At 34.9% G+C, this 27,777-nt stretch overlaps 2 protein-coding genes across 3 annotated transcripts in view; both read left to right on the plus strand.

Moving 5' to 3' along the window:
- Nucleotides 1–27,777, plus strand: part of SLCO1B3 (solute carrier organic anion transporter family member 1B3) — a 106,207-nt gene that overhangs the window by 37,654 nt on the left and 40,776 nt on the right. For both annotated transcript variants that reach the window (NM_019844.4, NM_001349920.2), the window contains 6 exons: nt 6,670–6,811; nt 10,081–10,213; nt 12,659–12,780; nt 14,054–14,200; nt 14,398–14,496; nt 26,877–27,119. In NM_019844.4, coding sequence (NP_062818.1) covers nt 6,670–6,811; nt 10,081–10,213; nt 12,659–12,780; nt 14,054–14,200; nt 14,398–14,496; nt 26,877–27,119 — 886 coding nt within the window. The remainder of the gene's footprint in view (nt 1–6,669; nt 6,812–10,080; nt 10,214–12,658; nt 12,781–14,053; nt 14,201–14,397; nt 14,497–26,876; nt 27,120–27,777) is intronic.
- SLCO1B3-SLCO1B7 (SLCO1B3-SLCO1B7 readthrough) overlaps nt 1–27,777 on the plus strand; it is a 275,549-nt gene that overhangs the window by 32,685 nt on the left and 215,087 nt on the right. The window contains exons 2-7 of the mRNA NM_001371097.1: nt 6,670–6,811; nt 10,081–10,213; nt 12,659–12,780; nt 14,054–14,200; nt 14,398–14,496; nt 26,877–27,119. Of these exons, the coding sequence (NP_001358026.1) occupies nt 6,670–6,811; nt 10,081–10,213; nt 12,659–12,780; nt 14,054–14,200; nt 14,398–14,496; nt 26,877–27,119 (886 nt within the window). The remainder of the gene's footprint in view (nt 1–6,669; nt 6,812–10,080; nt 10,214–12,658; nt 12,781–14,053; nt 14,201–14,397; nt 14,497–26,876; nt 27,120–27,777) is intronic.

The raw sequence follows: 27,777 nt of genomic DNA on the forward strand, positions 1-27,777 counted from the left end.
ACCAGAATTCTCATTTATTGCTGGTAGGAATGCAAAATGGTAGAGCCACTTTGTAAAACAATCTGATAGTTTCTTATGAATCTAAAGACAGGCTTACTGTACAATCCTGCAGTCATAGACCTTAGTATTTACCCAAATGACTTGAAAACTTATATCCACATAAAAGCCTGCACACAAGTGTTATAGCAGCTTTATTCATGATTGTCATGACTTAAAAGCAACCAAGATATCTTTCAATAGGTGAATAGGTAAAGAAACTGTGATACAGTCAAACAATGTAATTTTTTTTAGTGATTAAAAAGAAATGGAACATCAAGTCATAAAAATACATGGAAAGACATCCAAAACATAACTGTAAGCAAAGAAGCAAATCTTAAAATGTTATATATTGTAAGATTTCAAATATATGAGATTCTGGAGAAGAAAAATCTAAAGAAAGGAATGTGTTCAGTAGTTGCCAAGTGTTTGAGGAAGAGAGGAAGAAAGAAAGAAACAGTGCAGAGGATTTTTAGGTAAGGGAGACTATTCTTTATGATACAGTAATGAAGAAGACCTATCAATATACATTTATCAGAATCGATAGACTGTAAAACACACCAAGTGAACCCTAATGTAATAATGCATCCAAATTGGTTCATCAGTGTAAACAAATGTACCACACCAATAGAAGGTAAACATAATAGTAGGGGAAACTGTGTGTGGATAGAGGGAATATGTGGAAGCTCTCTGTAATTTATGGTCAAATTTTTTTTTTGTGAATCTAAATTGCTCTAAAAAATAAAGTCTATTAAGTATATTAAAAAATTTTTCAAGAAAATACTAGCCAATTAATTCCAACAGCACATTTAAAAGATTGTACACCATAACAAAAATGGATTCATCCTGGAAATTTAAGCATGATTAAATACATGAAACTCAAAGGAATGCAATATATTAAGCAAAGAAAAAAGCCACATGACCATCTTACTAGATGCATTTGACACAAATCCAACACCCTTTCTCAACACAAACACCCAGAAAACTAGTAATATAAGGGACCTCTCTCAACATGATAAGGGCATTTATGAAAAATCTTCAGCTGGCATCATATTTGATATTGAAAGACTGAAAGTTTTGTCCCTGTAATTAAAAACAATACAAGAATATTCATTTTTACTAATGCTATTCAAGATTGTTCTAGAAGTTCTAGCCAGATCCATTAGACAAGAAAAAGAAACAAAAGGCATTCAAATTAGAAAGAAGGAAAACTGTCTTTATTTACAGATAACATAATTATATGTAAAGAGAAGCCCAAAGAATCCACAAGAAATCTACTAGAGCTAATAAATAAAGAAAAATTACATAGTAGAAAATCACACACACACACACACACACACACACACACACATATTACTTGTGTTTCTGTACACCGGGAATAAGCATTGAAAAATAATTAAAGGAGTAAATCCATTTATCATAGCATCTCAAAAATATATATAGGAACAAATTTAAACAAAAAGGTTAAAAAAAATCACACACTGTAAACTATAAAACATTGCTTAAAAAATTAAAGACCCACATAAATGGAAAAACATCCAGTGTTTATAGATTATAAAATTTAGTATTTTTGAAATGACAGTGCTACCCAGATTTCTCTGCAGATTTACCGCACATTCTATCTAAATCCCAACAGCCTTTTTTTTTTTTTTTTTCTTGCAGACATGGAAAAATCCATACTGAAAGTCATATGAAATGGCAAGGGTCCCCAAATAAACAAAATAATATTGAAAAAATAACAAAGTTGGAAAAAAATTTTTAAAACTTTTATTTTAACTTCAGGGGTACATGTACCAGTTAGTTATATAGGTAAATTGTGTGTTGCAGATGTTTGATGTACAGATTATTTTTATTATTATTATTTTATTTATTTATTTATTTATTTATTTATTTATTTATTTTTGAGACAGAGTCTCGCTCTGTCGCCAAGGCTGGAGTGCCATGGCGCATTCTCGGCTCACTGCAAGCTCTGCCTCCCGGGATCACGCCATTCTCCTGCCTCAGCCTCCTGAGTAGCTGGGACTGCAGGCACCCACCACCACTCCCGGCTAATTTTTTTTTGTATTCTTAGTAGAGATGAGGTTTCACCGCATTAGCCAGGATGGTCTCGATCTCCTGACCTCGTGATCCACCCGCCTCGGCCTCCCAAAGCGCTGGGAATATAGGCGTAAGCCACCATGCCCGGCCGATGTACAGATTATTTTATCAGCCAAGTAATAAACATAGTACTTGATAGGTAGTTTTTCTATTCGCTGTATTCTCCTAACTTCCACCCTCAGGTAGCCACAATGTCTATTGTTCCCTTCTTTGTATCCATATGTACTTAATTTTTTGTTCACACTTATAAGTGAGAACGTGCAATATTTGATTTTCTGTTCCTGTGTTAGTTTGCTTAGGATAATGGCCACCAGCTTCATCCATGTTGCTGGAATACAATTGCTGGGTTGAATGATAATTCTATTTTAAGTTCTTTGAGAAATTGCCAAAGTGCTTTTCACAATGGTTGAGCTAATTTACACTTCCACCATCAAGGTATAAGTGTTCCCTTTTCTTCACAACTTCACCAGCATCTGTTATTTTTTGACTTGTTAATAATAGCCATTCTGACTAGCATGAGATGATATCTCATTGTGGTTTTGATTTGCATTATCATATTTTATTTATCTATTCATTTGTCAATGAACATTTTAGTTGCTTCTACCTCTTGGCTATTGTAAATAATGCTGTGATGAACGTGGGTGTGTGAAAATCTCTTCAAGATCCCAGTTTGAATTTCTTTGAATATATACACAGAAGAAGGATTGATGGCTTCTATGGTAATTCTGCTTGTAACTTTTTTGTGAAAACTCCAAACTAGTTTTCATGATGGCAGCACTATTTTACATTTCAAACAACAAACACAGTGGATCCAACTTTTTCACATACTTATTAACATTTGTTGTTTTTCTTTGAATAGTGAGTATTCTGATGAGCGTGGGGTGATAGCTCATGGTAGTTTTGATTTGCATTTCCCTTATGATTAGTGATGTTGAGCATCTTTTCATATGTTTATTGGCCATTTATACATCTTGTTTGGAGAAATGTTTATTCAAGTCCTTTGTCCATTTTTTAGTTGCATTATTTGTTTTTTGTTGTTGTTAAGTTGCAGAAGTTACTTATATATTCTGGGTATTAGCTCCTTATTAAATATGGGATTTGCAATTATTTTCTGCCATTCTATAGGTTAAATTTTCATCTTGTTTCTTTTTATGTGCAGAGGTCTTTAAGTTTGATGTAGTCACATTTGTCTATTTTTTATTTTGTTGCCTGTGCTTTGGGTGTCATACTCAAGAAATTATTGTCAAATCAAATGTTCTGAAGCATTTTCTCTGTATTTTCTTCTAAGAGTGTAAGGTCTTACATTTAGGCATTTAATCCCATTTTGAGTTAGTTTTCACATATGGTGTAAGACAATGGGTCAACTTCATTCCTTTGTATGTGGATACCCAGTTTTCTCAACATCAATTGTTGAAGAGACTGGTTCTCTCCCTGTCATGCAGTGTTGGCACCCTTGTTGAAAATCACTTGTCCATATAGGCAACAGTTCATTTCTGAACTCTATTCTATTCCATTGTTTTATATGATTATCTTTATTTCAGTACACACCATCTTAATTACAGTTGCTCTGCAGTATATTTTGAAAACAGGAAATATGAAGCATCCAGCTGTGTTATTCTTCAAGATTATTTTGGCTACGCAGGGTGCCTTTGGATTCTCTGTAAATTTTATATTTGTTTTTTCTATTTCTATACAAATGCTGGCTAGGAATGGTGGTTCATACCTGTATCCCCAGGGCTTTGGAAGTCTGAGGCTGGAGGATCACTTGAGGCCAGAAGTTTGAGACTAGCTCTAGTCCAAGCAACACAGCAAGATGCCACATCTTTAAAAAAAAGTAATTAGTTAGGCATAGTGGTGCACAGCTGTAGTACCAGCTATTGAGGAGGCTGAGGTGGGAGGATTGATAGAGCCCAAGAGGTTGGGACTGCAGTGAGCCATGATCACTCCATTGTACTCCAGACTGGGCAACAGAGCAAGACTCTGTAAAAATTCAAAATTTAAAAAATTAAATGGCATTGAAATTAAAATCTGTAGATGAGTTTGGATAGTATGGATGTTTTAACAATACTAAATCTTCCAATCTATGAGAATTGAATGTTTCCCATTTATTTGTGTTTTATTTATTTTGGTAATATTTAATAGGTTTCAGTGTAAAAATCTTCACTTTGTCATTTAAGTTTATTCCTAAGTGTTTTATCTTTTTTATGATCTAGTGAGATTTTCTTAATTTCCTTTTGAAATGTTCATTGGTAGTGCATAGAAACACTTCTTAATTTTGAATGTTGATTTGTGTCCTGCAACTTTGCTAAATGTGTTTATTTTTTCTAAATTTTTTTTGGTAGAATCTTTACATATAAGATGATGTCATCTGTGAACAGAGATAATTTTATTTCTTTTCCAATCTGAATGCATTTTATTTCTTTTTCTTGTTTAATTTCTTTTCCTAGAACTTCCAGCAGTAGGTTGAATTAATATTAATGTTAGGAGTGGGCATCTTGTCAAATGTTTTTTCTGCATTAATTGAGATGATCATGTGGTTTTGTCCTTCATTTAGTGAATGTGATGTATTATGCTGATTTAATTTTGTATGTTAAACCATCCTTGTATTCCAGGTATATATTTTGCTGGATCATGATGTGATTTTTTAAAATATGCTGTTGAATTCAGTCTGCTAGTATTACATTTAGGAGTTTTGTATCAATATTCACCAGGAATATTTTTCTGTAGTTTTCTTTTTTTCTGTCTTTATGTTATTTTGGTATTAGGGTAATTCTGGCCACATTAAGTGAATTTTGGAGTTTCTTTCAAAAGTATTGGTGTTACTTATTCTTTAGGAGTTTGGTAAAATTCTCTAGTGAAGACATTGGTTACTGGTTTTATCTTTTTTGGAAGTATTTGATACTGCTTCAATGTCCTAATTATAGTTCTGTTCAGATTTTTAAAATTGAATCATAATTCAATTTTAGTAGGTTGTATGTTTCTAGGAATGTATTCATTTATTCTATGTTTTCCAGTTTGTTGGCTTATAATTGTTCATAGTCATCTCTTATAATTCTTTTTAATTTCTGAGACAGCCGTTGTAATGCCTGCTCTTTCAGTTCTAATTTTAGCTATTTAAGTCTCTCTCTCTTTTTTATTTTAGCTAAAGGTCTCTCAGTTTTGTTGATATATTCAAAAGACCAACTTGGGTTCATTAATTTTTTTCTGTTGTTTTTGTTTATTTTCTATTTTATTTTTTCTACTCTAATGTTTAATATTTTCTTCGTCTCTTAATTTCAGGTTTGTTTTTGTTTTCCTGGTTCCTTGATGGATACAGTTATGTTATTTATTTGAGATTTTTCTTTCCTTAATATCAATTTATAAACTTTCCCTTTAGTGCTGCTTCCACTGCATCACATAAGTTTTGGTTTCTTGTGTTTTCATTTTCATTTTTCCTCAGATATTTTATTAATTCTTGTTATTCCTCCTTTGACCCATTGGTTGTGTAAGAAAGAATTTTTTAATTTCACATATCTGTGGATTTTCTTGTTTTATTCCTGCTTTTAAATACTATTTTCATTGCACTGTAGGAGAAAAGATACTTAATATAATTACAACATTTTTAATTTGTTAAGATTTGTTGTGTGGGCCACGGTGGTCTATCTTGGAGAATGTTCCATTTCTGCTGGAGAAAAGATGTATTCTGTTGTTATTTGATAGAGAGTGCTCTATTTGTCTGTTAGGTTAATTGGTCTATCATGTTCAAGTCATTTGATTCCTATGATAGTCTCCCTGGTTGTTCTGTATATGAATGAATGCAGGATATTGAAGTATCATTATTATTATTATGTTACTGTCCATTTTTCCTTCAGTTGTATCTATGTTTGTTTCATATATCTCATTGCTTTAGTTTTAGGTGCAGATCTATTTATAATTGTTGGCTCTTCCTGGTGAATTGATAATTTTATGCCGCTATAATGTCCTTTGTCTCCTGAGACAGATTTTGTCATAAAATCTAGTTTTTCTGATATGATTATGGACATACCTGCTCTCTTTAGGTTCCTGTTTGCATCGGATACCTTTGTCTGTCTTGATACAGTCACTTGTGTTGGTCATAAAATTCCTCTTTGCCTCCACAAAGTTCTATTTTTCAGCTGGCTTCCTGAAAGTGCTACTCCTGCATGCACTGCCATTCCCCTCCCAGTTAGCCAGGGCTATTCACATGGAAATAAAGAAAATAGCTCACCATCATGGCCATCTGAGAACAGTGTCTAGCTTCCTATAAATCAGTTAATGAAATTAGTTTAAAAATAGCAACCTTAACTATACTCCTCTAGCAATCGAATGTTGTAACCAAGTTAGAAAATCATGCTTTAGTAGTGTACTGATGATAGTATTATAGGGCTGAGAAGTTTCAACTTGTATAGGGAAAAATGGGTATTTTTTTATGATAATGTTTTCGAGTAAAGAAGAAAAACTGTTTTAGTTCCATGTACCTATAAACATTATATAGTTCTTTGATTAACCAATTTTCATTTTTTCTTCTATTGTTTTTAGATGTTCTTGGCAGCCCTGTCATTCAGCTATATTGCTAAAGCACTAGGTGGAATCATTATGAAAATTTCCATCACTCAAATAGAAAGGAGATTTGACATATCCTCTTCTCTTGCTGGTTTAATTGATGGAAGCTTTGAAATTGGTAACTTTTATTTTTTCTATTTGATAACCATACTTGCATAAGTTGAAAAACAAACTGTTCATGCATGCTTTATATCACTGGGTCTGGACTAGGTGTAAATTTGTCTCTCATGGGCAATTTGGCAATATGTTAGGATATTTTTGTTGCTATAAATGGGCTGGGGCAGGGAGGATGCCACTGGTACCTAGGGGTAGAGGTCAGGTATGCTGCTAAACACTGTGCAATGCACCAGACAGACTTACCAACAAAGAATTATCCTTCCCAAAATGTCTATAGTGAGGATGTTGAAAAACTCTGGTCCTACACAAACTCATGGTTTGCAAATTAACTTTTTAGGAAACTTTATCTCCCTTGTCTCAAGGTGCCCCAGTGTGAAGAAAGGTTGAGGGAGGACGATAATTCTTATGGTTTTAGGTGGAAGGACTGCATAGGAGCAACCTACACTAGATTCTACTGTTTAACTGTGTACAACATTGGGGGTTTAAAGTCTTTTTTTTTTTTTGAACATTGAAGATACTGCTTTGATGTAATCATTTTAATTTGGATTTCTCCAACAATAGTGAGATTTTATATAATAATTGAAAATATTATATAATAATTGAAAATAATATATTTTCAATATAATAATTTTTCAAAGAAAAATTAAAATTTTTCTTATTTTACAAACTGCTAGCTTATAGCCTCTGCTAATTTTCCCTTTTTCTTTTCACTTTCTAATTATTTGGAGGGACCACCAAATTGTCTATTATATAGACTGCAAATATTTTCTACAATTCATGTTTCTATTCTAACTGTATTTACACAATGCTTAACTAATGACTAAAATGTAATTGTCAAAGGAAGATTTATCTCTTTATATAAATTCAGAATATTTGTGATTCAAAGATATGACACTCTACATGTCCTTCACTTGTTTACCTCCCAGGCTCAATGAAATCATCTAGAATTTTAGAATTGGAATGTTATTAGTTTTAACGTTTAATTCACTGTATGTCTATTTTTATTATGAAATTAATCCTTAACATTTTTGTTAAACTTTGCAGCTATTTAACAGCAATTATTTGAACATCATTATCAGTTTGGTTTCTTACCTCTATTTCTTGAATCCTATGACTGCAAATCTCATCTTTACTCTTTCTGGAGTATACCTTCATGTATAGATGACCCTCTGTATCCACAGGTTCCACACCCACGGATGCAAGTCACATTCAAAAAATATAAAACTTAAAAATGGCCATATATTAATAAAAATGATGCGAATAAAAACAACATAGAATAGCAACTATTTACATAGTATTTACATTGTATTAGAAGTATTAGAAGTTATCTAGAGATGATATAAAGCATACAGGAGGATGTTGATAGGTTTTATGAAATACTACATCTTTTGTTTGTTTGTTTTTGTTTTTCAAGGCAGAGTCTCCCTCTGTCGCCCATGCTCGTGCAGTGCCCTGATGTCATCTCACAGCAACCTCCACCTCCTGGGTTTAAGCAATTCTCCTGTCTCAGCCTCCCGAGTAGCTGGGATTAGAGGCGTGTGCCACCACATCCGGCTAATTTTCGTATTTTTAAGTGGAGACAGGTTTTCACCATTTGGCCAGGCTGATCTCAAACTCCTAGCCTCAAGTGATCTGCTAGCCTCAGCCTTTCAGAGTGCTGAGATTACAGACGTGACCCTCCACATCCAGGCAATACTACACCTTTTTACCTAAAGGACTTGAGCATCCACAAATCTTGGTGTCTACAGAGCATCTTAGAACCAATAACCAGTGGACACGAGGGATGACTGTAATTATTTTTTTTTAGGAAGAATTGAAAACGTGGCATATTTTCTAAGCCCTTGCCTGTTGGAATATTTATTTTAGTATCATATTTAATTGATAATTTGTCTGGGTATGGAATTAAAATTTCCAAATCCCTTTTTCTCAAAACATTAAAAATATTCATCTACTGTTTTATAACATTCAATGTTGTATATGAGAAATTATTACCACTGTAATTTTCATGCACTGATATGCATCTCTTTTTTATCTTTAAATATCCAAAAATTTACTAGCATGTATCCGAGACTCTATCTTTCTACGTTATTTCTGCTGGACAAACGTAGGAACTTTCATATGAAAGCTTACGTCTTCCTCTAACACAAAAACTTTATTTTCTGTTTCCTATTTGTTTCTTCCTGTATTTTATTCTTTCTTTTCTTCTGAAACATGTATGAGATAAATAATATATTTTCTGAATATTTTTCCTTTAAAATTTTTTCCTCTGAATTTCTACCTCTTTTCTTTATGTTTCATCAATTTTCTCTGATGTGTGATGTCATCTTTTATATCAAGTTCTAATTTGTAAATTTTTAATTATATTTTAAATTTATAACAACACTTTATTGTTGTCTTATTATTTTTAGTCTGCCAGTTCTGATTCTATGGCTGCAACATGCCATTTTACCTCTAAATATACTAACAGGATTTTTTTTAAAAAAAGTTTCTACTCTTTTTAGTTTAATATTGTTTAAGTATTTATTCTTGTGTTGCTTTATCTGCTGGTCCATTCTGGTGCTTTCTTTCGTGAAACTATTTTCCATCAGTGTTCAATAATTCTTGATTATTGTCTGTTCAATGTTATATATAAGGCTACAGATAAATCTGAATTGGTCTACTCTTATTGCTCTTCTTCCATGTTTTAATCTAAATAATTTATACTCAACATTACATCTCAAATAATGTATCCTCCAGGAAACTTTCACAAAGCCCCTAATTAATTTAAGCTCCCTATTTCCATAATCTAATAGCACATCTATCCATCTGTTTTATTTTATTACTAGTGTGTTTCTAGAGAACAAGTACCACGATTTTTTTTTATATTTCTGACTCTGAGCACTGTGGTAGGTACATAGTATAAATTTAAAGAATGCCTAGAATAAGTTTAAAATATGCATGAATGATTATCTTTCCCTCAGATTAGGAAGACATTTTCCATTCCAATGCAATCCAGTAAACTCCAAATTTTCAAAAAAAAACTTTGCTTCTCTCATATAGCCAAATTACCCAAGTGCTTTCTTTGCATATAAAACCTATTCTACTTATTAATACTATACAACTTTTCAATGAGTGGTTTAATGTAGGAGAGTTTACCTTCACAGTTAAATTACATGGTCTTTGAGGGAAGGTACAATGTCTTGGGCATATTTGCATTCATTTGGGGCATTCAGTTCTACTAGATACAAAATTACACTAAGTCATATCAACATAATTTTGTTTTTTTTCTAGGAAATTTGCTTGTGATTGTATTTGTAAGTTACTTTGGATCTAAACTACACAGACCGAAGTTAATTGGAATTGGTTGTCTCCTTATGGGAACTGGAAGTATTTTGACATCTTTACCACATTTCTTCATGGGATAGTAAGTGTTAAACAGCTCTGAGCCATTTATTATCAGCTACTTGTAAATTAGCAGTAGAATTTTATTTTTATACTTGTAAGTGGGCAGTTACCTTTTGAGAGGAATACCTATAGGTATGCATAGAGAAATGGAGTATATTTCCTATATAATAGTTCATGTATTGCTTTATTCATCATGTATTTCTTTATTTATCATGGCTTTTATAAACTTTTAAATAAGAATAATATTATATAAGGTATACAGTTTTATATGAAATGAATATCTTATTTACCAATTTTAGTATAACATATGTATTTTATGTTTTTGCCTGTAAGATTTTGATTATCCTCAGTAAGGCTTCACAACTTCACCTGCTGCTGTACAGGTTTTCCCATCAGCATTTCACTGAAGCTGCTCTTTCTAAGGTAACTGTGTAGTTATGATTAGAGTAAGAAGCTCATATGAGAAAACTGAAAATAGCAATAACTTAAATAAGATAGAAGTTTATTTTTTACATTTTTTCAAGTCCAAGGATGATATGATTCTACTTTTCATCATAGTGCTATGCCTTGCATGGCCTTGTCCTCTTGTTACAAATTGTGGCAATGTATTTCCAGGCAACAGGATAGAAGAAGAGAAGAACAAGAACAAAGAGTGCACACAGGCTGAGCTCCAGGAGCATTTTCAGAAGCAAAACACTTTCACTGATTTCACATTTACGGGAAGTCAGTTACGTTTTACACATAGATATGTAGATGTTGGAAAAATGTACTTTATTCCAGGCTTCCGTATTTCCAGCTAAAAAAACCAACTTCTGTTACTATGGAAGGAGAGAAGAAAGGATACTGAGAGACAACGAGCAGTTTGTTAGAGACACCAATTCCTTAATGCCAAATCCAGCAATCATGCCTGTTGGTCACCATATGAATTCTGTTTTTTTCCCCCTCTACATTTGGCCCTTATAAGAACTTTCTTCTTAATGGTACTGCTCTAATACTCATCATATTCCACAATCTTGATTCATTTTTCTATTTTTGTGGCTTCATCATGCCCATCTTTTTCCTTTGCTTCTGACACCATAATTTCTGTGTCCCATAATTCCCTCTAATCTTCTTAATATCTTATTCTTCATTATTTTTATGGAGAATATGCCTTAAATGCAACTACCCCAGCTTCATCTTCCATTGCTCCCCACATTTGAGGACCACATTCTAGGCTTACAGTTCTCTAATGTGCCATAATATGTCATATCTTTGCATCTGTTATTTCTACAGACTTGAATACTTTTCTTCCTTTGTCTACCAATTTGAATTCTACCCATCTTCAATATTCATTTAATCTGTCCTTCACATTGTGAAGTTTTCTTTGATCTACCCTCACCTCCAAGAAAAGCTGATCATTTCTTTTTTTTTTTTTTTTTTTTTGAGACGGAGTCTCGCTAGTCGCCCAGGCTGGAGTGCAGTGGCGCGATCTCGGCTCACTGCAAGCCCCGCCTCCCGGGTTCACACCATTCTCCTGCCTCAGCCTCCCGAGTAGCTGGGACTACAGGCGCCTGCCACCACGCCCGGCTAATTTTTTGTATTTTTAGTAGAGACGGGGTTTCACTGTGTTAGCCAGGGTGGTCTGGATCTCCTGACCTCGTGATCTGCCCGCCTCCACCTCCCAAAGTGCTGGGATTACAGGCGTGAGCCACCGCGCCCAGCCCCTGATCATTTCTTTTTTGTGGGTGTGTGACAACCCAGGACCTTGTATATTAAATTTACTATATCTTCGATCATACACATTTATCTTAGAGAGTGTGAAATTTCCAAAGTACAAACACTGTGTGTTTTATTTCTTGATCTTCATGTTTTATTTCTTGTTCTTTGAAGTTGAGCAAAATGCCTGGCACACTATATGTTGTCCTTAGAACTCACAGAGCGGTTAGTATTTTTGAGCATCAGCGTCTGTCCCTGATCCAGCTCCATCTCCGTTGTTCTTATTTTTTCCTCATAAAGTTTAAATGAATTAGAAATTTGTTTTTATTGAGTTTTGAAAAGTCAAGCACTTTGTGTGTGTGTGTGTGTGTGTGTGTGTGTGTGTGTGTACATGAAAGAAAATCAGACAGATTGACCATCTTTGATGGTAACTCAAAGGGATAAATAGACATAGTTAACAGATAAAAAAACAACAGGTGAAACCATGATATTTCATATCTTGACCAGATTATAAGCACTCTTAGGATAAAAGCAAGGTGATAACCCACTTTGTTCATGGTGTATTGAAGTATCTTTCTTAGTGGACACTCCCATTTCACCCCCTCTCATCACCTGTTCTGAAATACATGCTGGGAAGTTGACAAACAAGATTCTGGTAATTTGGAGAAGACAGCGGTTCAAATAAAGGAGAAAATTTCTCTGTATTTCTGGGAAAACTGAAAATATTCAGTAGATAAGCAAAATGTTCAATTTCATGTTGCTCTTACAGTTATAGGTATTCTAAAGAAACCCATATTAATCCATCAGAAAATTCAACATCAAGTTTATCAACCTGTTTAATTAATCAAACCTTATCATTCAATGGAACATCACCTGAGATAGTAGAAAAAGGTAAGAATTAATAGTGACAGTAAAACAAATTCTAGATTGATAGATTTAATCACGTCTATAAAGTTTCTGATATTCTTTAACAAAATTGATTTAAGAACAAATAGGAAGAACATTTATCCCTTACATACAGACAAAATCATACTGTTAATGTATGCAGTCGATTCTTAAACAACACAGGTTTGAACTGCACCTGTTCGCTTATATGCAGCTTTTGTCCAACCAAACAGAAGGAGAAACCCACCACCGATGTGGAGGTCTGACTTCTATAGGCGGTTTCCACAGGGCAAATGAGAGGACTTAAGTCTGTATAAATTTGTGTACATATGAGTTGTCCTAGAACAAACCTCCTAGTGTACAAATGGATTATTGTATACCAAGGGCATTTAGAAGTAGATAAGAAAAAAGAACAAATTTAGTAGGAAATTTGCAAAGAACATACACATTTAAAATAAAAAAGCAGAAAGTGGTAGAAATATGTGAATAATATAACTTTCTCTTTATAAAGATGCAAAATGTTATAGCATTTGAAGACTTTGTAACTATTATAAACACAATAATATAAGTATAATTTTAACCCCAAAATTTATTAAAAATAAATGAAGTGGAGGAAAAAAAATGATTTCAAGTTTTCTGTATTGCTGGGAGAGTATAAATTTCAAAGTCTTTCTGGAGATTAATTTTCAATACATATTAAAGAACAAAAATATACTTGCCTACTTTCTTGATTAATCTTAAGGAAATCATCAGTAATGTTCACAAGGACATTTCATAATCACAGCCATGACATCCATGTTTAACAGAATAAAAAAAAATATTTTGTAACGACAAAAGAAGAGATTGTTTAACCAAATTAGGAAACTATTATTCAACACACTACTATGCAGTAATTAAAATTTTAATATAGAAGAACTCTTGACAACATGGGGAAATTGTGACAATATAGTGATAATTGTATATGCACCTTAAAAATAACCTGGATTTTTAAATATGTAATGTACATAAGGAATATTATGCATATTTTGTGCACTAAAAATGCAGAAGATCTAGAATAACATTTGCAATGATCGTCTGTGTGTAGTGTAATTATAGAAAATTTTTACTTGTTTTCTTTGTGCCCTTCCTTATTTTCAAACTTTGTAAAGTGAATATGAATCACTTGTAATTAGGAAACAAACAAACAAAAAATGGAAAAATGAAGGATTTAAAGTAGTTAAATTTCTAATAGGAATGTTAAAATTAATGTTTAAAGTAAAACACTCTCTTGTCTCGATAGATTGTGTAAAGGAATCTGGGTCACACATGTGGATCTATGTCTTCATGGGGAATATGCTTCGTGGCATAGGGGAAACCCCCATAGTACCATTGGGGATTTCATACATTGATGATTTTGCAAAAGAAGGACATTCTTCCTTGTATTTAGGTAACGTACAGAATATATTAAATTTCATGATTACATTCCCTGGATCTACCCTTGAAATAATAATGTCATTATTTTTTTCTTTTACCTATTAGAAAAATATTTGCAGAAGTGTATTGTATAATATTACTTTTAAAAGCATGTTAAATGAAAACCAAGTATTTGTGACATCTGATTAAATTGTTTTGTAATACTTACAGGTAGTTTGAATGCAATAGGAATGATTGGTCCAGTCATTGGCTTTGCACTGGGATCTCTGTTTGCTAAAATGTACGTGGATATTGGATATGTAGATCTGAGTAAGTACAATTAGAACAAGGTACCATGATAGTGTCTTTTAAGTGCAGGACACCATTCTTCCAAAGAATTAAATTCAGTCTTTCAATAGTTCTTTGTTTACTATTTTTCAAGAGTTACAAGTAGGAAATAAATCCATTAATAATCAGAATAAAAAAGAAATTTAGCTCCTATTTATACTTTGCTTTTACAACTAAGTATAAAAAGAGATTTTTAACAAATTTATTTTAGATTACTTGATCCAAAATAACCAAACTTGAAATGTCCCTTTCCCAAAACTGACTGGCCCAGTCAAGTAAATTTTATTTTTCAGTTGATGGTGACTTGGATGTTGATGTGTAGAACTCAGATGTTGATGTTTGCTTTGCGAAAGCCTCCTTGTGGCTGCTGCATTGACTTACGGCAGGGGTGGGTTAAGAGAGGCCACAGTGCACTTTGGTTGTGGTCATTTTTCCTGGTTCTCACTGAGGGCTTGGCCTATGGGAACATTTAATGAGTGCTTATAGAACAAATGAATGAAGGAGAGGATGCATAAATAAAATTTACGACTTTTGTCTTTACTCTCAGAGCATGCTTTATTTCTCCTCTTGTAGAAGAATAAGAATCAATGTTGTAATATCTGCCTCGACTTCAGGCCCTCCTTCCTACAGATATACCTTCACCATATCCATATTTATCTTTTTTTAACCCATACTTATGAAAAAGTATTTATCTTTAGCTAATATTAGTAGATCCAACTGGGGTTTAGATTTCCTCTTTCTGCCTCTCCTCCATCTGCACCCTCTCTTTTCCTCAGCAAACACACTGAAGTCTCTCCCATCTATGTACACATACACATTTTTATATCCCCAAACAACTTTCCAATTGATTAACTGTTTCTCAATTTATCTTCAAAGCCAAGTACCTAGAAAAACATCATCTAACATAAGTATCTCACCTTCTCATCTCCCATTTACTTCTCATCCACTATAATCTGTTTTACCACTAATAAAACACAATCAGCTTCTATGTAATTTACTAATTGTAATGGATATTTTTCTATAATTTATTTTAATGGATATTTCTACTACTTGTTCCATTTTTTTCTTCTTAGATTTTTTTTTAAATAAGTACCTAAAACTCAACCTGTGAAAAGCTGGTCTCATCGTCTGATTTCCAAACCCACTTTGTTTCCTGTATTCCCTCTCTTGATGAATATCTGTACCTTAATTCAATGACTGACTGAATTACTATGCCCTGTAATCTCACACTTCCCTTTATTTAAAATTGGAAAAACTTTTCTCTCTTTTTTATTTTTATGGTTCTCAAAGTCTCTTTCAACATGTGACTTTTCTCATGTAACCCTTACTTCATCATTTCCATTGGTCTCAAATTCGGTGCTCCTATTAATCATCAAGAGCATGCCTTTATTGTAGCCCTTCTCACAACAATCTATAAATATTTGCATACTTACCCACCATCTCTTTGAGAACATGACAGAATCGTGTCTGTGTTAGCATATAATAACTCATCAGGGTTTGTGAATAAACAAATATGATTTTCTATCTCTTGAGGACTTAAATAGATCACTCCAAAGAGACCAAAGGATTCATTCCAAGATGGAATAGCCATTATTGTAGGCCAAGAAATCATAAAGTGTTTTCTATTATAAAACTAAAGCAAGTACCTGATGATATGTTTTATATCTTCCATGTTAGACATGTGGCTTAGTGTAGCTACACGTTATGTACATCATTTTTACTCATTTGCTCTACTTTAATCATTGCTTTTAACACTGAGTACAAAGTAAGTGTTGAAGGTCTTTAGGATAGTAGTTTTGTAGCCTCTCTATTCAGAAATAAGCACACCATTTTAGAATTCATGGTGATTCAACTTCTACCCCTGACTGTTCAGACCTTATCACATCTTCTCTTATTCTGTGAGAAGCATGAAGTGAACTTATGATAAAGTATACTTTGGTAAATTTTAATTCCTACAGGATCCAAAGACATAACATAAATGAGTAAAGAATATCAAGGGCAGGAAATTAGGGTATGATGGTTAGAATGGGGAGAGTTGTTGTTGGTGCACTACTCTCCCCATACACACTAAAACTCATGTGCTCCCCAGCTCTGGTCTATACTTTTCATACAGAATTTTGGCACCGGCATTAATAAGGCTTTCTGATTGGTTTTCCAGAGAATCCAGGAACCAAGATTTTAATGTAGAATTTTCCAATTTTTAAGATTGTGTGTGAGCCACGGGAAGCACTAGCAGGACATATCTAGCTTGGTTATGACCTTTAGTTCCTATATATAGACCAGTGAAAGAACCAAAAACAGTCATCAAAATTACATTTCTGACAGGTGATAAGTAAACACTTAGCATGTATAATGGAGTTACTGATTTAACTAGTCATTTCCTGAAGTCTGCCTGAGTTGTTGATTATGAAACAATATGATCACATAAATCAATTTTAAAACCAGATCAGTCCATACTAGCAAATAATATATTTCTAAATAGTTTTAAATCAATTCAATATTTTTTCATGTCAATGATTTTTCTTATAGATCAGAGTAATGGCATCAGTTAAGTTTGCTACAAACTTCTATGGTGTGTGTGTTTCCGTGTGTGTACGCTTTCTTAATCTTTATTATTTTTATTTTACTGAGATAAGAACAATTAAAATGGACTCTACCTCCCAAAAATACAATTGAACCTTGAACAGCACAGATTTGAACTGTGCAGGTCCACTTATACATAGTTTTTTTGATAAATGTATTGGAAACATTTTTCGAGATTTGTGACGACATGAAAAACCTTGCAGATAAACTAGGCAGCTTACAAATACAGAAAAAGTTAAGAGAAAATTAGTTATATTGTGAATACATAAAATATATGTAAATATTATTTTATAATTTACTACAATAAAATATGCACAAATCTATTATTAAAAGTTAAAATTTGTTAAACTTTACACAGAGAAACTCTTATAGACCTTACATGATGCCATTCCCAGTCACAGTATTAAATCATGACTGCATAAAATTAACTGTAGTGCCTACTTCACTGCTGTAAAAATTCTGTAATCATCTCCTGTTGTTATTGCAGTAAGCTCAAGTGTTGAGAGTATTTATTTAAAATGCCATGTGTCATTCATCATCTCCATATGAGTAGTTTTCATCACTCTCCAGTAAGTGATGAATCACAGTAAAAAGTGAACCCTTGTGTTTTCTGCGTATTTTTCATCCTGTTAAGTGCTGTAACATCAACCTTAAGTAACACTGTGTGAGCCGTATGAAGTACCACTAGTGATGCTGGAAGTGCTCCCAGAAGCAAAGAAAAGTCATGACATTATAAGAAAAAGTTGAATTGTTTAATATGTACTGTAGAATGAGCTCTGCAGCTGGCCACTGTTTCAATATAAATGCATCCAGTACAAGGACCATTGTAAAACAAAAACAAAAACCCACACACAGAAAAATGGATCAACATGAAGCCTCACTGCAGCTACAACATTGGGCACATAAACCTGTCCTTTTAGTGCAATAGCTTTTTATATCATATTGAAAATTCAACTTTTATGTAGATGCAAGATTGCTATCAGAAAGGCATAACTGTAGACTCGAAACATGATTCAAGAAAAAGTGAAGTCATTATATGAAAACTTAAAGCAAAAGGAAAGTGAATGATTTAAAGCTGGAGAACTTCATGCCACTAATGCATAATTTGAAAATTTTCTAAAGAGGTTTGCCTCAAAAAAGTGTCAGTATAACAGGAGAAGCAGCTCCTGCCACTTAGGAGTAACAGAAAAGTTCTAAATGGCATAAAGAAAGTCATTGAGGAGAAAGGACATCTACCTGAGCAGGTTTTTAATCCGATGAAAGTGCCCTATTCTGGAAAAAAAATACCACAAAGTACACTTATTAATGAGGAAGATAAGTGAGTACCAGTATTTAAGGCAGGAAGGGATAGGCTAACGCTGATGTTCTGTGCAAATGCAGTGGGGTTTATGATCGGAACTGTTCTTACCTATACAACTGCTAATCCCTAAGCCTTGAAGGGGAAATAGTAAAAAACAGTTGTTAGTCTTTTGGTTGTATGACAAGAAGGCCTGAACAATAACTTTTTTTCTGAAAAGTTATGACAGTTTCCTTCCATGCTTTGTTCCTGAAGACAGGAAGTACCTTGGCAGGAAGGGTTTACCTTTTAAAGTCCTTTTGATAATTGGCAATGCTCTTGGTCATCCAGAACCTCATGAGTTGAATACTGAAGGTGCTGAAGTGGTCTGCTTTACCCCAAACTCAATGTCTCTAATTCACCCTCTAGATGTGGGGTCCTAAGGACATTTAAGGCTCATTATACATGTTACCCTATAGAAAGGATTGTAAATACTGTGGAAGAGAACCCCAATAGAGAGAACATTATAAAAGTCTGAAAAGATTACACCGTTGAAGTCGCCATCATTGTTATGTAAAAAGCCACAAAAGCCTTCAAACAGGAAACAAATTTCTACTGGAGAAAACTGTCCAAATGTTGTGCATAGCTTCATGGAATTCATAACCATTCAAGAAAATTATGAAGAGATTGTGGATATGGCCAAAAAAAAAAAAGGTGTGGAGTGAAGAATTTCAAGACATGGATCTTGGAGACATTCAAGAGGTAACAGGCACAACAGAGGAATTAACAGAAGACAACTTGATGGAGATAAGTGCTTCTGAACTAATGTCAGATGATGAGGAAGAAGACATGGAAGAAGCAGCGACAGAAACAAATTGACATCAGACAGTCTGGCAGAAGTGTTCTGATTATTCAAGACTGTTTTGATGTATTTTACAACATGGAAGCTTCTGTAATGTGGGCACTGAAATGAAAGCAAACAGTGGAAGAAGGATTGGTATCATATAGAAACATTTTCAGAGAAATGATAAAGTAACAAAGTCAAATAGAAATTATGATGTATTTCTGTAAAGCCACACTGTGTGTACCTGTCTTTCCTGTAGAAATTATGATGTGTTTCTGTAAAGCCACACTGTGTGTACCTGCCTTTCCTGTCTTTCTTTTTACCTCCTCCACTGCCTCTGCCTCTACTACCCTAGAGAAAGCAAGAACAGTGCCTCCCCTTCCTCCTCCTCTACCTGTTCAATGTGAAGAGATGAGGATGATGAAAAGCGTTATGATGACCCACTTCCACTTAATGAATAGTAAACACATTTCCTTGTGATTTTCTAAATGTCATTTTCTCCTGCTTATTTTATAGAAAGAATACAGTTTATAATACATACAGCATGCAAAATATATGTTGACTGTTTATGCTATTGGTAAGAATTCTGGCCAACTATTAGTGCTAAAAAAGCACTTGATAAAATTCAACATCCCTTCATAATAAAAGCCCTCAAAAATCTGGGGATAGAAGGAACATACCTACCCAAATATATCTACAGATTCAAGTTAAGTTTTTGGGGAACCAAAAGTTACAGACAGATTGTCAACTGTTTGGGGGGTCAGCCACCCTAAATCCCATGTTATTCAAAGGTCAACTGTACAATACAGTATTATTAACTACAGGCACAATGTTGTACAGCGGATCTCTAGAGCTTACTCATCTTGTATAAATGAAACTTTTTATACCCATTGACTGGGAACTCCCTATTTCCCCTTTCCCACAACCACTGGAAATCACCATTCTACTTTCTGCTTTCATGAGTTTGACTCTTTTGTATGCCTCACATAAATGTAATCACTCAGTTGTAGGGACCAGCCCCACAGATTTGGTGGGTCTCTTACTGTGTGCGGAGATGAGAGAGTGTAGAAATAAAGACACAAGACAAAGAGATAAAAGAAAAGACCCCTGGGCCTGGGGGACCACTACCACCAATGCACAGAGACTGGTAGTGGCCCCGAATGTCTGGCTGTGCTGTTATTTATTGGATACAAAGCAAAAGGGGCAGGGTAAAGAGTGTGAGTCATCTCCAATGATAGGTAAGGTCACGTGGATCACATGTCCACTAGACAGGGGGCCCTTCCCTGCCTGGCAGCCGAGGCAGAGAAGAGAGAGGAGACAAAGAGAAAGACAACTTACACCATTATTTCTGCATATCAGAGACTTTTAGTACTTTCACTAATTTACTACTGCTATCTAGAAGGCAGAGCCAAGTGTACAGGATGGAACATGAAGGCGGACTAGGAACGTGACCACTGAAGCACAGCATCACAGGGAGATGGTTAGGCCTCTGGATAACTGCGGGCAAGCCTGACTAATATCACAAGAGGTGGAGGAGCAGAGTCTTTTCTAAACTCCCCCGGGGAAAGGGTGACTCCCTTTCCCGGTCTGCTAAGTAGCGGGTGTTGTTCCTTGACACTTCTTGCTACCGCTAGACTGTGGTCCGCCTGGCAATGGGCGTCTTCCCAGACACTGGCGTCACTGCTAGAACAAGGAGCCCTTCTGGTGGCCCTGTGTGGGCATAACAGAAGGCTCGCACTCTTGTCTTTTGGTCACTTCTCACTGTGTCCCCTCAGCTTCTGTCTCTGTATGGCCTGGCTTTTCCTAGGTTATGATTATAGAGTGAGGATTATTATAATATTGGAATAAAGAGTAATTGCTACAAACTAATGATTAATGATATTCATATATAATCATATCTAAGATCTATATCTGGTATAACTTCTTGTTTTATATTTTATTATACTGGAACAGCTCGTGTCCTTGGTCTCTTGCCTCGGCACCTGGGTGGCTTGCCGCTCACACTCAGTATTTGTTCTTCTGTGACTGGCTTATTTCACTTAGCACAATGTTGGCAAAGTTTAACCACGTTATCACATATTGCAGGATGTCCTTTCTGTTTAAGGGTGAATAGCATTTCATTATACGTATATATCACATTTTCTTTGTTTATTCATCTCTCTGTAGATATTAGGTTGTTTTCACATTTAGACTGCTGTGAAGAGTGCTGCAATGAACATACAAATGGAAATATCTCTGTGAGATCCTAATTTCGATTATTTTGGATATACACCTAGAAGTGAGATTGCTCCATCATATGGTAGTTCTATATTTAATTTTTTGAGGAAACTTCATACTATTTTTTTATACCAGGTGCACGATTTTGCATTCTACCAACAGTGTATAAGTGTTCAAATATCTCCACATCTATGCCAACACTTTTCTCATTCTTTATTTTTGATAATAGCCATCCTAATGGGTGTATGGTGATACGTAATTGTGCTTTTGATTTGCATTATTATGATAATAAGTGATGTTGGATATCTTTTCATATACCTGTTCATTTCGATACCTTCTTTGGAGAAATTTCTATTCAGGTCTTTCACCTATTTTTAAATCAGGCAATTATATTTTTTTGCTATGGAGTTGTAGGAATTTTTTGTACATTTTAGAAATTAACACCTTATCACATATATGCTTTATGAATATTTTCTCTTATTCCGTATGTTGCCTTTTCACTCTGTTGATTATTTCTTTTGCTGGGTAGAAGCTTTTTAGTTTGACCAGTTCCATTTGTCTAATTTTGCTTTTATTGCCTGTGCTTTTGGTGGTACATCCATGAAATTATTGTCAAGACAAATGTAATGAAATTCTTTCTCTAAGTTTTATTCTAAGAATTTTATAGTTTCTAGTTTTAAATTTTAGTCTTCAACATAGTCTGAGTTTATTTTTTCAGTATATATATGATAAGGATATAACATCATTTTCTTGTATGTGAATATCTGGTTTTCTCAACACCATTTATCAGAGAAACAATTATTTCACTATCGTGGTCCCTTGTCAAAGATCAGATGACTGTATACACACAGATTTCTCTGGGCTCTGTATTCCATTCTGTTGGTCTACATATCTATCTTTATGCCAGTACTGTAATGTATTAATTACTTTAGCTTTGACATATATTTGTAATCAGGAAGTGTGAACCATCACCTTTGTTCTTTCTCAAGGTTGCTTTGGCTATTTGAGGTCATTTGTTGGTTTCATATGAATTTGAATCTGTGGATATATTTGAGTAGGTATGTTCCTTCTATTCCCAGATTTTTGAGGGCTTTTATTATGAAGGGATGTTGAATTTTATCAAGTGCTTTTTTAGCATCAATTGAAATGATCATATGATTTTTACCTTTCATTCTGTTTATATAATGTATCAGATTTATTGATTTGCATATGTTGAACTAACTTTGGATCCCAGGATAAATCCCACTTGGTCATGATGAAGGATCATTCTAATGTATTGTTGAATTTGGTTTGTCACTATTTTGTTGAGGATATTTGCATCAATATTCATCAGAGAAATTGGCCTGTAGTTTTTTTGATGTGTGTTTGTTTGATTTTGGTATCAGGGTAATATTGGCCTCACAGAAGGAGTTTGGAAATATTCCCTGCTCCTCCATTTTTTGGAATGGTTTGAATAGTATTGGCATTAATTATTTCAGTCTCTTTGTTAAATTATCTGATAGTTTCTGAATTCCTTCTCTGTGTTATCTTGAATTTCTCTGAGTTTCTTCAGAATAGCTATGTTGAATTCTCTGTTTGAAAGATTACATATGTCTGTTTCACCAGGATTGTTCCCTGGTGCCTTATTTAATTTGTTTGGTGAGGTCATGTTTTCCTGGCTCATCTTAGTGCTTATGTTATTCATCAGTGTCTGGGCATTGATGACTTAGGTATTTATTCTAGTCTTTGTTGTCTGGGTTTGTTTTTGCCTATCCTTCTTTACTAGGCTTTTTAGGTATATGAAGGGACTTTGGCCACAACCTCAATAATACTGTGGTTTTTACAGTCTTAGAGAGGTACTGCCTTGGTGGCCTTGGAAAGTATATGGAAGAATTCTCTGGATTATTAGGCAGAGACTCTTGTTCTCTTCCCCTGCTTTCTCCAAAGCAAATGTAGTCTTGCTCTTTCTGTGCTGAGCTGCCAGAAACTGGGGGTTCACTGATGCAAGCAAGCATCCTTGTGGCCCCCCAACCACTGAGACTGTCCTGGGTAAGACCTGAAGCCAGCACAGCACTGGGTCTTGCCCAAGGCCCTCTTTAACTACTGTCGGGCTACCATCTATGTTAACTCAAGATCAAGGGCTCTACAATCAGTAGTTGGCCAAGCCAGCCAGGTTTGTATCCTTCCCTTCAATGCAGTGAGTTCCTCTAGGCCTCAGGCTGGCCTACAGATGCTGTCTGAGAGCCAAGGATTGGAGCAAAAAACCCTTGCAATTTACCTGTAATAGATATCTGTTTTACTATGGCTACGCTGGCACCCAAACCACAGCACAAAGTTCTTCTTGCTCTTCTCTCCCCTTGCCACAGGCAGAGGAGCCTCTCCCTGTGTCCACCACCACCACAGGCCCAAGGAAGATTCTGCCAGGCCACCACCCATGTTCAATTAAAGCTCTAGGGCTCTTCAGTCAGTTTATTATGAATGCTGCCAGGTCTCAGAGACTCATCCTTCAGGGCAGTGGGTCTCTTAGTCCAGGACTAGGCTATTGGACAGCATTTCTAGACTTGCCTCTGGCCCAGGGCAGGTCTAGAAATGCTTTCCAAGAGCTTAGTCCTGGACTCAGGGACCCCAAAAGCCTTCTTGTTGCTCTGTTCTACTGTAGCTGAGCTGCTACCTAAGGTGCAAGACAAAGTCGCCTTTATTTTTCCACCACTTCTCTTAAACAGAAGGAGTCTTTCACCGCAACCACCATGGCTGGGATTGTGCTTGGTCACACCTGAAGTCAGCAAATCTCAGAGCCCAAGGCCCTGAGTGCATTACTTTGCATTACTTTGGTACCACTGCTGGTTATTTAGGGCCTGAGGGCTCTTTAGTCAACTGATGATAAATGCTGCCAGGAGTGGGTCCTTCCCTTCAAGGCAGTGGATTCCTTTTTGGCCCAGGATGTGCCTAGAAATGTTGTCCATGAGTTAGGGCCTCAAAACTCTGCCTGGTGCCCTATTTTACTGTGGCTGAGCTGGTATTAGAAAAAATATTTTGCAATCTATGCCTTAGAAAAAAAGAATCACCTCTCCAACTCTTCATGGACTGGCCTTATTGTAGGAGAAAACCTTCATCAATCAGCCCAGCCATATCTTCTTGGGCCTCTCAAATTTTCATGGTCATCCAAACATCTATCTTTGTCTTAGGATCCCCCAGGCATCTAGAGTATGCAGGGTCTTATCAGCACCTTTACACATTTGAGACAGAAGACAGTCCTTAGTCAACTCTTAGGAAAGTTTGAATATTTGGCATGCTGTCCAACCCTTTCCCTTCCCATGGAGAATTTGGAAGCTGAGATTTCTTACCTCATCACTCTGCTTAAATCTAGGGGCAGGAAGAACTTGGCAAGTGCCCATGTGCTAGTTTAAATCATCATTTTTGTGTTCTTTGTAGCACCCAGGGGCCAAGTGTATGCCTAACCTAAAGACAAGGAAGACAAAATACCTTTCCTTGATAGAACTCAGAAAAGATGAAATGTTATATATGTGGTCCAAATCTTTGTTTCCCCATGGAGGAGCTAAGAGCTGAGATGTTGTTGTTGTTTTTGTTTTTGTTTGTTTTTGCCTGCTCACTCTGCACTAACCTAGGGGGCAGGATCTGTGATAAATGTCCACATACTGGCTCATCTTTATTCTCTGTAGTTCCCAGGTGTCTGGCATATGCTGGGTCCTCTCAGTACTTCGAGACAGATGAGATAGAAGCTAATCTATTGGGTAGCACTTGGAAAGGTTGAAATGTTGAATGTGCAGTCCAGCCCTTTCTCTCCCCAAGGATAAGCTGGGAGCATTTTTTAAAAATTTTATTTTACTTTAAGTTCCAGGATACATGTGCAGAATGTACAGGTTTGTTACATAGGTAAACATGTGCAATGGTGGTTTGCTGCACCTATCAACCCATCACCTAGGTATTAAGTCCCACATGCATTAGCTATTTGTCCTGATGCTCTCCCTCCTTCTGCCCCCATGACAGGCCCCAGTGTGTATTGTTCCCCTCTTTGTGTTTATGTCTTCTCAGTGTTCAGCTCCTTCTTGTGAGAACATGCAGTGTTTGATTTTCTGTTTCTGTGTTAGTTTGCTGAAGATAATGGCTTTCAGCTTCATACATGTCCCTGCAAAGGACATTATCTCCTTCCTTTTTATGGCTGCATAGTATTCCATGGTGTATATGTACCACATTTGCCTTATACAGTCTATCATTGATGGGTATTTGGGTTGGTTCCATGATTTTGCTATTGTAAATAATGCTGCAATAAACATACATGTGCATGTATCTTTATAATATAATGATTTATATTCCTTTGGGTATATACCCAGTAAAGGGATTGCTGGATCAAATGGCATTTCTGGTTCTAGATCCTTGAGGAATTGCCACATTTTTTGTTTTTTTCTTTTTCTCTCACACATTCGCTCTGTGTTAAGCCAGAGGGAAGAGCTGTGTCAAGTGTTCACATGCCAGTTTAAACTGCTAGTTTTTCCCAATTGTATGGTATAATACTGAGGAGGAGAATGGCAAGAGGATGTCTCCAATTATCTTACTGGTTTTTATGTATCTGGTTTTGTACTTTCCTGATGTATAGCAATCTCTCAGTTAGCTTCTGTATTTCTCACAAATGAAATTGATCTGAATATTACTGTTGAATCAGTATGTTCATGGAGAAAAAGGTATCTGTCCTTCTTATTCTGGTATCTTGCTGATATCTCATGGATGCATTCCTGTTACTTAAACTGTATATTTTCTACCTACTAAAATAACTCATTGACATTTGAGATATAGCATTTACACATTACTCTTATACATACTTTAAGGGAAATATAGTTGAAATAAAATGGTTAAATGATTTCTAACATTTAGAGTCCAATATTTCTGGGTTACTCTTAAACTCAGATTTTCATTTTGCATAGTTTTTCATCCTCTGTGCTGTCTGGAGAGTTGCAAATGCAGGTTCCTGGGTAGTTAGGGTGCTGTGGATGGAAGCTCCTTTATTGTCTCTAAGTATTTTTTGCCAGCTGCTTAAATTTTATTTCTGAGGCTTTCTTGACCTCATTAGATGATTCCAACATTTTCAGACAACAGTGAGGATTCATATTTCTTCCATGAACAGTTATTAAATGGTCTGAGGAGTTAAATGTCCAATGATGACAGCTGTCCAGTCATGAAATCTGAAAAGCCACCAAGTGCACACAAGATCAGGCAATGCGAACAGTGTCATGACTGACTCCTGGACAATAGCAATTGCAAGATGTCATCAACCTAGTTTCAGAGATAACAAAATATGAAAAGAAGAAAATAGTGTTTTAGAATTGAAAGTAAACATTTGGTTTACTTTCTTCATCTATGGAGGACTGCAATCATTATCATTATTTCCCAGAACCTACTGTATTTCAAAACGATTTTTGACTGGCTTCTTTTAACTGTTTCTCCTAGGCACTATCAGAATAACTCCTAAGGACTCTCGTTGGGTTGGAGCTTGGTGGCTTGGTTTCCTTGTGTCTGGACTATTTTCCATTATTTCTTCCATACCATTTTTTTTCTTGCCGAAAAATCCAAATAAACCACAAAAAGAAAGAAAAATTTCACTATCATTGCATGTGCTGAAAACAAATGATGATAGAAATCAAACAGCTAATTTGACCAACCAAGGAAAAAATGTTACCAAAAATGTGACTGGTAGGTATTTGACATTCATTGTCAACTTGGAATTGTTAATCTCAATGAAACGGAGAAGTGAGTAAAAAAAAATAAAGCATACTCAAATCATCTAGAGTCAGCTTTCTTCTCTGCTAAATTTAGCTGAATTATTTTTTCTAAAACTCCTATTAAAATTAACAAATATGTCTTGAGTACATAAAAAGGGGAAGAGGATTAGGTTTCTGCTCTTTAGAAGAGAGAAACCAATCAAAGGCTACAAACATCTGTTGCTTATAAGCCAGAGTATATATTCATTTTAATATAATATAGTATAAACTGTGAGGGTTTAAAGGATTATAATTTTTCATTCATTTATTTATTTAACAAATGATACCAGCCATCATACTATTCTCTGGTAATAGAACATTGCCTTTATTTTTTGAGAACCTGGTGGATGATATTAAGACGTATATAGATCACTGTAATAAAGTATCTTAAGTACTATGGTAGGTTATATTTAACTATTCTCAGGTGTAGAGATGAAATAAGGAGAAGGAATTCAGGAGAGGAGTCTGTCTAGGTAATTAGAGTAAGATTATTTTTCTTGGTAATTAAAATTATATCTTATTAAATTAATTTTTATATATGAATTAAAATTATATATATACATATATAATCTTACCTAAGTATTCAAAAA

The sequence above is a fragment of the Homo sapiens genome, chromosome 12 (assembly GCF_000001405.40).
Source record: "Homo sapiens chromosome 12, GRCh38.p14 Primary Assembly".
Classification (NCBI taxonomy): domain Eukaryota; kingdom Metazoa; phylum Chordata; class Mammalia; order Primates; family Hominidae; genus Homo; species Homo sapiens.